This window comes from Homo sapiens, chromosome 11 (genome assembly GCF_000001405.40).
Source record: "Homo sapiens chromosome 11, GRCh38.p14 Primary Assembly".
In the NCBI taxonomy this organism is placed as follows: Eukaryota; Metazoa; Chordata; class Mammalia; order Primates; family Hominidae; genus Homo; species Homo sapiens.
This window is the reverse complement of record NC_000011.10, coordinates 108,568,436-108,582,285: the sequence shown is the minus strand read 5'-3', so window position 1 is coordinate 108,582,285 and position 13,850 is coordinate 108,568,436. Positions and strand designations below refer to the sequence as shown.

At 39.7% G+C, this 13,850-nt stretch overlaps 1 protein-coding gene across 11 annotated transcripts in view; it reads left to right on the top strand.

The window, feature by feature from the left end:
• EXPH5 (exophilin 5) overlaps window positions 1-13,850 on the top strand; it is a 102,102-nt gene that overhangs the window by 25,251 nt on the left and 63,001 nt on the right. The gene's annotated exons all lie outside the window — the stretch shown is intronic.

The window sequence follows — 13,850 nt, the reverse complement described above, 5'->3', positions numbered from 1 at the left end:
TCACCATATTGCCCAGGCTGATCTTGAACTCTTGGGTTCAAGTGATCCCCCGCCCCAGCCTCCCAAAGTGCTGGGATTACAGCCATGAGCCACCACGCCCAGCCTGTATACTATTTTTGTGTGGTTTTGGTGTCAGTAATTCTAGCCTTGTAAAATGACTTAGGAAGTGTTTTCTTCTATTTTCTGGAAGAGATTATATAGCCCTGGCATTGCTTCTTCCTTAAACGATTGGTAAAATGAAACAATGAAACCATCTGGAATGGGAAGTTTCTTTTTTGAAAGGTTTTAAACTATGAGCTCAATTTCTTTGATAGATATAGAACTTTTTCGGCTATTTCATCATGAGTGAGTTTGACAGTGCGTGTTTTTTGAGAAATGGATCTATTCTAAGTTGTCAGGTTTATATGCATAAAGTTATTTATAATATTTATTTATTATCCTTTTAATGTCTGAATATTATGTAGGAATAGCCCCTCTTTCATTCCTGGTATTGATAATTTGTATTCTTTCCCTGTTTTTCCTTTTTAGTCGTGTTAAAGGTTTATCAAATTTATTGATGTTTTCAAAGGACCTGCTTTTTGTCTTACTTTGATTTTTCTTTATTGTTTTTGTTTCAATTTAATTGATTTCTGCTCTGATATTTACCATTGCCTGCTTTATGTTTATTTTGCTATTTTTTTCTCATTTCTTAAGGTGAAAACTTAGATTATTGATTGAAGACCTTTCTTCTTTTCCAGTATAAGCGTTTTTTGGTTTTTACATTATTTTAATTTTAATTAGCAAATAATAATTGTACATATTCATGAAGTATATGGTGATCTTTTGATACGTATAATACATGGTGATTAGATCTGGATAATTAGCATATTCATAATCTCAAACATTTATCATTTCCTTGTGTTGGGGGCATTCCATATCCTCTCTTCTAGCTATTTGAAACTATATATATGCATACATATATATATATTTTTTTCTTTTCTCTGAAATAGTGTCTTGCTCTGTTGCCCAGGCTGGAGTGCAGTGGTGCAATCTGGGCTCACTGCAACCTCCACCTCCTGGCCTCAAGTAGTCCTTCCACCTCAGCCTCCCTAGTAGCTGGGACTACAGGTACTCACCACCACGCCTGGCTAATTTTTCTATTTTTTGTAAAGACAGGGTTTCGCCATGTTGCCTGGGCTTTCAAACTCCTGAGCTCAAGTGATCTACCTGCCTCAGCCTCCCAAAGTGCTGGGATGACAGGCATGAGCCACCATGCCCAGCCATATTAATGTTATTAAATACCTATAGTCATCCCACAGTGCTGTAGACAGTAAAACTTATTCCTCCTCTCTAGCTGGAATTTTATATCCTTTAACAAGTCTCTCCTTCTCCTTCCTTTCCCCATTCCCAGCCTCTAATATCTTCTATTCTACTTTTTACTTCTATGACGTCAGCTTTTTTAAGCCTCCACTTATGAGTGAGAACGTGTGGTGTTTAGCTTTGTGTTCTTGGTTTATTTCACTTAACATAATGTCATCCAGTTTCATCCATGTTGCCACAAATGACAAGATCTCATTCTTTTTATGGCTGAATAGTATTCTACAGTATATATATGCCACATTTTCTTTATCCATTCATCTGTTGGATACCTAGGTTGATTCTATATCTAGGCTATTGTGAATAGTGCCGCAATAAATATAGAAGTATAGCTATCTCTTTAATATACTGATATCCTTTCTTTTGGGTATACCCAGCAGTGGAATTGCTGGATCATATGGTATTCTATATGTAGTGTCTTGAAGGACCTTCCATACTGTTCTCCATAGTGGCTATACTAGTTTGCATTCCCCACCAACAGTGTATAAGAGTTCCCTTTTCTCCACATCCTCACCAGCATTTGTTATTTTTTTTTTCCTTTTTGATAATAGCTATTCTAACCATACTGAGATGATGCCTCATTATAGTTTTGATTTGCATTTCCCTGATGATTAGTGATGTTGAGCATCTTTTTCATGTATTTCTCACCCATTTGTATGTCTTCTTTTGAGAAGTGTCTATTCAGATCATTTGCCCATTTTTAAATTGGATTGTCAGCTTTTTTGCTGTTGAGGTGTTTCAATTTATTGTGTATTCTGGATATTAATTCCCTTTTGGATGAGTAGTTTGCAAATATTTTCTCCCACTCTGCAGGTTATCTTTTCACTCTGTTGATTGTTTCTTTTGATGTGAAGAAGCTTTTGAGTTTTATATAATCCCATTTGTTTATTTTTACTTTTGTTGCCTATGTTTTTGAGGTCTTATTCATAAAATATTTCCCCAGACCAATGTCCTGAAGTATTTCCTCTATATTTTCTCCTAGCTCCTCTAATTCGAAGGGAAGATTCCCTTCCCTGAGAGTTTTAGTGTGTATGCGCCCCAGCTACCACTGCTGTTGCTGCCAGAAAACCCTTTTCCTACTCCTCAAACCTGAACTAGGGGGCTTTTCCTGGAACTCTCTCCATTTGCACCAATGCTCATTTCTGGGTTTTGCACTACTCTGAGTCCAAATCAGGGTATAGTGGAGGAGAGGGAAAAAAGTAAATTCACAGCAGTTTCAGTGGTATTTTACATTCTTTCACAATTTGCCTACTACAATTTACTTATCAGATATCTGTTCTGTGCCTTGTGACCAGGTTCTATGGCTATATTTCCTAGGAGAGACAGGGTGAAAGCACTTACTCTATCTTATCTGGAAGCAGAACTCCCCATATTTACTTTTTTTTTTTTTTACTTCCAAACTAATTGTATAAGGCCAACATTACCCTCATACCAAAACCAGACAAAGACACAGTGAGGAAAGAAAACTATAAGCCAATAACTAATAAACATCAATGCAAAAATAACAAAATACTAGCAAACTGAATTCAACAACACGTTAAAATGGTCATTCATTATAATCAGGCGGGATGCATCCCTGGGATGCAAAGATGGTTCAACATATGCAAGTTAATAAACATGATGTATCACATTGGTAGAATCAAGGGCATAAACCATATGATCATTTTAATAGATGTCAAAAAAGCATTCATTAAAATTCAACATCTCTTCATGATAAAAAAAAAAAAAACTCTCAACAAACTGCATATAGAAGGAGCATACCTCAAAACAATCAAAGCAATATAGGACAGACCCACAGCTAGCATCATACTGAGTGGGGGAAAACTGAAAGCCTTTCCTCTAAGATCTGGAACAAGACAAGGATACCCCTTTCACTACTTTTAGTTCAACAGAATACTGGAAGTCCTAGCTAGAGCAATTAGGCAAGAGAAAGAAATAAAGGGCATCCAAATTGGAAAGAAAGAAATCATTGTTCTTGTTTTCAGACAATATGATCTTACATTTAAAACAAAAATCCTAAAGACTCTGCAAAAAAGCTGTTAGAACTGATAAAAGAATTCAGTCAAGTTGCAGGATACAAAATCACCATACAAAAATCATTTCTATATGCCAACATTGAACAATCTAAAAAACAATCTCATTTACAATAACTACAAATAAAGGAATAAACTTAACCAAAGAACTGAAAGATCTCTACAATGAAAACTATAAAACGCTGATGATAGAAAGTGAAGAGGACATAAACAAATGGAAAGGTTGCCCATGCTCATGGATTGGAAGAATTAGTATTGTTTAAATACCCATACTACACAAAGTGATCTATAGAATCAATGCAATACCTATTATAATATCAATGAAATTCTTCACAGAAATAGAAAAACAACCTAAAATGAAGATGGAACCACAAAAGACCCAGAATAGCCAAATGAATCCTGAGCAAAAAAGAGCAAAGCTGAAGTCATCACATCACCTGACTTCAAAATATACTACAAAGCAGCAGTAACTAAAATAACATGGTACTGGCATGAAAACAGACACATAGACCAATGGAACAGGATAGAAAACTCAGAAATAAATCCACATTTACAGCCAGCTCATTTTCAACAAATGTGCCAAGAATATACAATGGGGAAAGGATCCCTCTTCAATGGATGGTGCTGGGAAAACTGAATATCCATATGCAGAAGAATGAAAGTAGACCCCTATCTCTCACCATATACAAAAATCAAATCAAAGTGGATTAAAGACTTAAATCTAAGACTTCAAACTATGAAACTACTAGAAGAAAATGTAGGAGAAATGCTCCAGGACATTGGTCTGGGCAAATATTTGAGTAAGACGTCAAAAGGACAGGCAACCAAAGCAAAAATTGACAAATGTGATTATATCAAGCTAAAAAGCTTCTCCACAGCAAAGAAACAATCAACATCATGAAGAGACAACCTACAGAATGAGAGAAAATATTTGCAAGCTATTCATCCAACAGGGATTAATAACCAGAATATGTAAGGAACTCAAGCAACTCAATAGCAAAAAAAAATCAAATTTTAAAATGGACGAAAGATCTGAATAGACACTTCTCAAAAAAATACATGCAAGTGGCCAATAGGCATATGAAAAAATGCTAAACATCACTAATTATCAGGGAAATACAAATCAAAACTACAATGAAATATCATTTCACCCCAGTTAAAATGGCTATTATCTGGCCAGGCGCAGTGGCTCACGCCTGTAATCCCAGCACTTTGGGAGGCCGAGGCGGGCAGATTACCTGAGGTCAGGAGTTCGAGATCAGCCTGGGCAACACGGCGAAACCCTGTCTCTACTAAAAATACAAAATTAGCCGGGCGTGGTGACACATGCCTGTAATTCCAGCTACTCGGGAGGCTGAGGCAGGAGAATCACTTGAACCTGGGAGGCAGAGGATGCAGTGAGCCGAGATCGCGCCATTGCACTCCAGCCTGGGCAACAAGAGTAAATCTCCGTCTCACCAAAAAAAACAAAAAATAAATAAATAAAATAAAATAAAATAAAATGGCTATTATCAAAAAGACAGAAAATAACAGATGGTGATGAGAATGTAAATTAGTACAGCCACTATGGATAACAGTTTGGAGGTTCCTCAAAAAACTACAAATAGAACTACCATATGATCCAGCAATCCCATTGCTAGGTACATATTCAAAAGACAGGAAATCAGTGTATCAAAAAGATCTCTGCACTTCCATGTTTATTGCAGCACTATTCACAATAGCCAGGATACAGATCAACCTACATGTTCATGAATGGATGAATGAATAAGGAAAATGTAGTGTATATACATTAGTGTACATAATGGGATATTATTCAGCCATAGAAAAGGAACTAAATCCTATGATTTGCAACAATATAGATGGAACTGGAAGATATTATATTAAGTGAAATAAGCCTAGTACAGAAATACAAATATCACATATTCTCACTCATATATGGGAGCTAAAAGAGTTAGTCATATGGAGGTATTGAATAGAAGGATGATTACAAGAGGCTGGGAAAGGTAGTGGGGAAGGGAGGATGAAAAGGACTTGGCTAGAAGGCACAAAAATACAGTTAGATAGAAGGAATAATATCTAGTGTTTGATAGCACAATAAGGAAACGAGTTTATAATTTATTGTACACTTCAAAATAGCTAGAAGTAAAGATCTGGAATGTTTCCAACACAAAGAAATGATAAATGCTTGAGGCAATGGATATCTTACTTACTCATATTTGATCATTACACATTGTATTCTTATATTAAATATCACATGTATCCCATAAATATGTGCAACTACTATATATCCATAAAAATTAGAAGCAAATTCAAAAAAGAATGAAAAATAAAATTTTATTGAAGTTAAATTAATATAACATAAAACTATCCACTTTAAAGCTAACAATTCATTGGCATTTTGTACATTAACAATGTTGTACAATCACCCCCTCTATCTAGTACCAAAACATTTTCATCAACCCAAAATAGAACCCATTAAACAGTTACTCTTCATTCCCACCTCCCCTCAACTACTAGCAACCATGGGTTTACCTATACTGGATATTTCATGTAAATGGAATTATATAATTTTTGTCTGTCTTCTTTTACTTAGTGTAATGTTTTTGAGGTTCATCCACCTTATAACATGTATTAATACTTTATTCCTTTTCTTGACTGAATAATAATCTATTGTATGCATATGCCACAATTTATTTATCTATTCATCCATTGATAGACATTTGAGTTGTTTCCATATTTTGGCTATTGTGAATAATGCTGCTATGAACAATTGTCTCACAAGTATTTGTTTGAGTACCTGTTCTCAGTTCTCCAGAGTATATAGGTAGGAATGGAATTACTGGAACATATGGTAATTCTATGTTTAACTTTTTGAGGAATTGTCAAACTGTTACCCCCATGTCATTTTATTTTATTTAATTAATTAATTTATTTTGATACGGAGTCTCATTCTGTCGCCCAGGCTGGAGTGCAGTGGTGTGATCTCGGCTCACTACAACCTCTGCCTGGATATTCCTGTCTCAACCACCCGAGTAGCTGGAACTACAGGCATGTGCCACCACACCCGGCTAATTTTTGTATTTTTAGTAGAGATGGGTTTTTGCCATGTTGGTCAGGCTGTTCTTGAACTCCTGACCTCAAGTGATCTGCCTGCCTCGGCCTCCCAAAGTGCTGGGATTACAGGCATGAGCCACCGCACCCAGCCTTCGCCCACATTACTTTTAACACAGTTGTGGTCTTAGGTATTTTTGTTATTTATGAACATCATAACATAAAAATAACCCCTTCATACTGAAGATTCAGGGTCAACATAACTTTTGTGGTTGTATACTATTCTACTGCATATATTCTATAATTTAGTTAACCATTCCAATATTTTAGTCACTTTAGTGTTTTCTTATTCTATTTGTTTCTTATTGCTACATTAAGTAACACTGGCAAGCCTTTATGCTTACATTCTTAATTCAGTTTAAATTATCTCAAGGGTAAATTCCAAAAAGTAGAATTACTCATGTAAATAATATAGATGTTTTCTAAGTTCTCATTACATGTTACCAAACTGCTTTCCAAGTGTTCTACCAAATTGCACCTTCACTGGCAGTGCGGGAAGGCCTTTGTTTTAACGAATCCTTTCTATCCCTGGATGGTGGTATTACTTTTTAAAACTCTTTGCCAATTTTGTGGGAAAAAAAATTATGCTTCATTTAATTTCTAATGCTGTGATTATAATGAACTTAAACTATTTTCATATGTTTACTATTCACATTTCTTGATTTGTGAATTGTCTATTCACATAGCTACCCATTTATATATGAGGATCTGTATCCAGAAAGCTTCTGGTCACAAATAACAGAAAATCTAACCATGACTTTAACAAATCGGGGGTACATTTTTCTGACATAAGAATACATCTGGAAGTAGGTAGCTGCCAGCTGGTTTAGTGGTTTAAGTATGTTAGAATGGTGCCTTTGTAACGCAAAATAGCTGCAGCTGCTCCAGACATCACATTCATATTCGAGGCAGAAAGAAAAAGGAAATAGTGGTGACAACTGCTTCTTTTGGGTATATATCCAAGAAGAGTCCTTTTTATCATGGAAGTAAAGGCCTTCTGTGATGCCTTCGAGCAGATTTCTACTTTATATTTCCTTGACCAGAACCATGTCATATGGTCATCCTTAGCTGCAAGGGAATTAGAAAAGCAAGAAATGGGATTGAAATATCAGACTTTGACCACACATGATCCATCCCCTGAGATTGAACACTCTGATGTTGACAACAAAATCAGAAAGGAGGGGAGTTGAGGGAAATGCATTCTAGAAGGCAGTCAACACTGTTTAATATGGCTTGGTGTGGTTTGTGTCTTATTGATTTATATATTTCACTACACATTAAAGAAATTGACTTTTGTCCTGTGTATTTCCCAGGTTTCAGTTTGCACACTTCTCTTTATCTGAAAATAGATTTTTTCTCAGTTTTATGTAGCCAAATGTACCTCTTTTTAAATTTCCTTTTTTTTTTTTTGAGATGGTCTTGTTCTGTCACCCAGGCTGCAGTGCAGTGGTGTAATGACAGTTCATTGTAACCTCTAACTCCTAGACTCAAGTGATCTCCCGCCTTAGCCTCCTGAGTAGCTAGGACTATGAACGTGCACCACCACACCCAGCTAATTTTTTAAAAATCTTTTTGTAGGTTGGGCGCGGTGGCTCACGCCTGTAATCTCCGCACTTTGGGAGGCTAAGGCGAGTGAATCAGGAGGTCAGGAGATCGAGACCATCCTGGCTAACATGGTGAAACCCCGTCTCTACTAAAAAAAAAAAAACACACAAAATTAGCCGGGCGTGGTGGCGAACGCCTGTAGTCTCAGCTACTCCAGAGGCTGAGGCAGGAGAATGGTGTGAACCCGGGAGGCGGAGCTTGCAGTGAGCCGAGATCGTGCCACTACACTCCAGCCTGGGCAACAGAGTGAGACTCCGTCTCAAAAATAAATAAATAAATAAATAAAATAAAATCTTTTTGTAAAGACAAGGTCTCACTATGTTGCCTACATTGGTCTCAAACCCCTGGCCTCAAGTGATCCTCCTGCTTCACCTTTTGTTTTTAAGATGAGAATACTCTTCTCATCTAGAGATTAGAGTAATATTCACTTCGTCTTAATTTTTAATGTAACTTTTTTATTCACCTGACATATATTTTGTCTATAAGTTAGGATTATATAAATTTATTTTTTTCAAATAGTTGGCAAATTGTCATAGTACCATTGATTTCCATCTCCTTCTGAGGCCCTTGATAATTCCCTTTAGGGAAAAGACTGTAGCAACCAAATAACCACAAAGAGTTGATGAGGCGAAATGCTATAGCACCAGTTTGTATAAAATCTCAGAAGGAAATCACAGGGGAAAACACAGCTTTCATACAGAGAAGTGTGATTGTTGTTATACCTATACAACATACATAGTTCATTAATTGTGTTTCAGTTTTTTTCCTCTTCCCATTTTCTACGTCAGGTGGCAAACCCAACCAAGGGTAGACCATTCATCATGAGGTCTCCATCAAGTGGACTGATTGTCATTTAGATCTGGTTGTTTTGCTGGTCAAATCAGTACCCTGGTAGGGTGGTAGACTCCTTTTCTTTCTCCCTCGCTTGCTTGCTTGCTTCCTTGCTGGTTTGCTTTCCCTTTCTTTCTTTCTTTCTTTCTTTTTCTTTCTTTCTTTCTTTCTTTCTTTCTTTCTTTCTTTCTTTCTTTCTTTCTTTCTTTCCTTCTTTCCTTCCTTCTTTTCTTTTTCTTTCTTTCTCTCCTTCCTTCCTTTCTCTCTCTCTCTCTCTCTTATTTTTTTCAACATTTTTTTGAGACAAGTTCTCTCTATATTATTCAGACTGGTCTCAAACTCCTGGGCTCAAGCAATCCTCCTGCCTCGTCCTCCCAGACTGCTAGGATTACAGACACGAGCAGCCCGTTTTTTAACTTGTATCAAAATTAATTTACTTCAAAAATTACTTAATTGCAGAGGTAAATGACTAACAGTATTACTAGACATGGGCCTGGGTGCAGTGGCTCATGCCTGTCATCCCAGCACTTTAGGAGGCCGAGACGAGTGGATCACCTAAGGTCAGGAGTTCAAGACCAGCCTGGCCAACATGGTGAAACCCCATCTCTACTAAAAATACAAAAATTAGCTGGGCATGGTGGCAGGTGCCTGTAACCCCAGCTATTCGGGAGGCTGAGGCAGGAGAATCGCTTGAACCTGGGAGGCAAAGGTTGCAGTGAGCTGAGATCACGCCATTGCACTGCAGCTTGGGCAACAAGAGGAAAACTCTGTCTCAAAATAAATAAATCAATAACTAAAACTAAAAATAAAAATTGCTAGACAAGAAAGCAAACAAAATAAGAACCTCACATGTTGTGAATTTAATGTTTCCACTCACAGGTGGGCTGGTAAGGATCCTTAGGAGATCATTGTCTGCACATCAGTCAGGGTCCAACTAGGAAAACAGAAAGTGATGCAGTAGATTGGTTCCACAGAGATAAAAAGCAGCAGAGAAACCAGTCAGGGGACAGTGAGTAAACGTGTGGAGTACTTTGCTGCTTTAAAACTGCTTGGCAGGATCAAAGGGTTCTTCTGCCCCGGAGCTATTTAGTCAGGCAACTGTAAAGAATCACTTTTTACTTTTGGTTGTTTTGGTTTTGTTTCACTGCGCACTTGGTGTAGGTTATGCATAAACACAAATGCTGTCGTGCCCACAAGCTGGTTAGATCCTGGCCTTGTGAACTGGCTTCTTTGAACTCCACTGTAGTTGCTCACATTGGCTCAAACTGAGCAGTTATGTTCAATGCCTTTTTTTTTTTTGGAGACAGAGTCTCGCTCTGTCACCCAGGCTGGAGTGCAGTGGTGCTATCTCGGCTAACTGCAAGCTCCGCCTCCCGGGTTCACGCCTTTTTTCCTGCCTCAGCCTCTCCGAGTAGCTGGGACTACAGGCGCCCGCCACCACGCCTGGCTAATTTTTTGTATTTTTAGTAGAAACAGGGTTTCACTGTGGTCTCGATCTCCTGACCTCATGATCCGCCCGCCTTGGCCTCCCAAAGTGCTGGGATTACAAGCGTGAGCCACCGCCCCAGCCTGTTCAATGACTATTTTAAACATTGCTGTCATGTATTTTATGTGTGGTTCCCTTCTTCAGATGTCAAAAAGGTGTCTGAAAATGACTTTTGGGATTGTACATATTTGAGGGGAGGTCTCAGTTGCTGGCTGAATTACTACATTTGCACTCGAGTTTGCCCTTGGGAGCTCCCCTTCAGCATTACCAGGGGCCAAGTGAGAGCTCTGTTTGCCCAAAGTCGTCCTCTAAGTGGTGGTATTAAGGGCTTCACGCCTCAGAGTAAAAAAAGCTCTTCACTCCTCAGAGTAGAAAAAGCAGGCGGAATTCTGACAATGGCCTTCTCCATGGGGAGTGCATCAAGGAGAGTCTGTCCACCTCTCTGCACTCTGGTCTGTTTCCCAGTGCCTCTTCCTCCTTAAGGACATCAGTTTCTCCCCTATTCTCAGCAACACCCCTCCTCACTCCACCAAAATTCATTCTTAGTTGTGGGTTATGGTATAGCACTGGCTCCACAGTAGGTAACTGGGAAGGCCAATAAATTAGGTCATGTCTATCCACGGTTGTGTAATTGCTTTGCCTCTACCATCCAGGCAAGTCTTTAAAAGGTTTATGAGTAACACACTCCCTCCAGGGTAGCTGTCTCCACCTTCAAAGCCACACCAGGCCTCACCCTCAGACAGCTCTACCCAGCTCTTTGTATTCCCAGTTCCACCGAGCTGAGGCTCCAGCTTCTTCCTTAGACTTCCTTTCATTTCCCCCATGTGTCAGCTTATAACACCTTGTCCTGGGCCTTCCAGAGCCTTAAGGAGAGTTCACAGTCACAAAACAATACATAAATGTAAATCTTTTCTTAAAAACAACTTGCACGTGTCTAAAACCCACCTCACAAATATTGTAAATGCCACAATTTCCAAACAGTTCTCCAAAACAATGATAGTTTTATTATTAAAGTGATAATACTTTTTGGTGGCTCATGCCAGTAATCCCAACACTTTGGGAGGTCAAGGTAGGAGGATCACTTGAAGCCAGGAGTTCAAGACCAGCCTGAACAACGTAGCGAGACCCCCATCTCTGCAGAATAATTTAAAAATTAGCCGGACATGGTGGCACATGCCTGTAGTTCCAGCTGTTTAAGAGGCTGAGGTGGCAGAATCGCTTGAGCACAGGAGTTTGAAATTGCAGTGAGCTGACCACGCCACTGCACTGCAGCCCGAGCAACAGAGTGAGATCTTATCTCTTAAAAATAAGCTAGGCGCAGTGGCTCACACCTGTAATCCCAGCACTTTAGGAGGCTGAGGCAGGAAAATCACTTAAGGTCAGGAGTTTGAGACCAGCCTGGCCAACATAATGAAACCCCATCTCTACTAAAAATACAAAACTTAGCTGGGCATGGTGGCATGTGCCTGTGATCCCAGCTACTCAGGAGGCTAAGGCAGGAGAATTGCTTGAACCCAGGAGGCGGAGGTTGCAGTGAGCCAAGATTGTACCACTGCACTCCAGCCTGGGAGACAGAATGAGACTCCATCTCAAAAAAATAAAAAATAATTTTTTTTATTTTTTAAAATAATAAAAATTAAAAATGCTATTCTGTTCTCAGCTTACCTGAACTTCATCTCTGAGGTGCTGCAGACACTCACAGGTGGCAGTCTCCTAAAGCTGGAAGATTCCATACCTCCAGGGGCCTGGGCCATTTCAGGAGGCAGGCCAGGCCCTAGTTACTCTCTTGGCTCAGATCTGCTTTCCTTTCTGGAAGGTAGACAGTCATTTGGAGTTTTTGATTGCAGGTCAACCATCAACATTAAGCATTGGGAGTAGCACTGCAATTTTACCTTTTTCTTGGAGCTGCCGGGTATGATAAGCTCCTCCATTTGCAGCATTGAGGCAGTTGTCTTTGGAAACTGTCACTGTCCCAAGACCCTCCTGCCAGTGCCTCACAGCATCAGGAGTCAGAGGTCTAGGCACCTCCGTGTTCCTCTGTAAAGTGAGAGCCCCATAGATTTTTTTTTCCATATCATGATTCAATAACATTTCTGTTCAACAGCACTCACTTATTTAGCAGATATATTTGAGATCCTACTGTGAACCTGGTACCGGAGATATACAAATGTTCTTTGTAAGCTTTCAATGCCGTGAAGGAGGTGGGTTTAAAAACAGTACATTCAGGCCAGGAGCAGTGGCTCACGCCTATAATCCCAGCATTTTTGGAGGCTGAAGAGGGCGGATCACGAGGTGAGGAGTTCGAGACCAGCCTGGCCAACATGGTGAAACCCCTGTCTCTACTCAAAATACAAAAATTAGCCAGGCATGGTGGCGTGTGCCTGCAATCTCAGCTACTCGGGAGGCTGAAGCAGGAGAATCGCTTGAACCTAGGAGGCGGAGGTTGCAGTGAGCTGAGATCACACCATTGCACTCCAGCTTGCGTGACAGAGAGAGGCTCTGTCTCCAAAAAATAAGAAAATAATAATAAATAAATAGAAATAGTACATTCACTATAACGTGACGAATGATAAGATAGTCACACAGAGGGCCGCAGAGGTAATTTAACTTCATGGGAAGTCTCAAAGAAGACTTGCTGGAGGTGGTGGTGCCTGAACTGAGTCTTGAAGGAGGTAACAGGTGAATAAAGGTGAAGTGAACAGCAAGTGGAGTGAACAACATTAGGCAAGCCATAAAGATGTGAAAGACTACAGGGAGATGCAGACACCATCGTAGTGAATGTCACCAGAGTGCAACGTGAGAGGAAGCCACAAGCAAAAGAGTGAGCTGGGGTGGCAGGGTGGGACGTGGACCTGTGTGCTGAGCCGAGGCCCCTGAGCTTGACAAAACTGGAGGGGAGGAGGAGCCACTGAAATGTTTAGAGTCACTGAATGACCAGGTCAAATTAGGTGGATGGCCATGGGTGGTGAGTGAAGCCTGGATTAGGGAAGAATTGTGTTTAGGGGCCTCGATTAGGGAGGAAGAGAAGGCAAGTGATTTAATAAATATTTGGAAAGTCGAATTAGCAGGGCTTGGTGGCTGACTGGCTGCAGGAGGAAGGAGAAAGGAGAGCTCATATGAACTCAGGTTTCTGGCTTTGATGAGTTTATGGCATTTGACCTACTGCTGAAACGAGTGGGTCCAAGTGGACTCTATACTTTGTGATTCCAGGGTAAGGTAATATATCTGAATACTAAAGGACATCAACTCTTCCATCAACTTTGAAATATTTAAAGGCAGATCTCTTGTTGTACATTATTTCTCAGCGATTGAGGTCAAATTTTAGGCCTGTGACCAAGACTGGGGGTTGGGGGGAGGTGTGGACAGATTTCAAAGCAGAATTCTGGCCAAGAGAACTTGGAACTTGTTCCTCGGCTCCAGATGGCCTG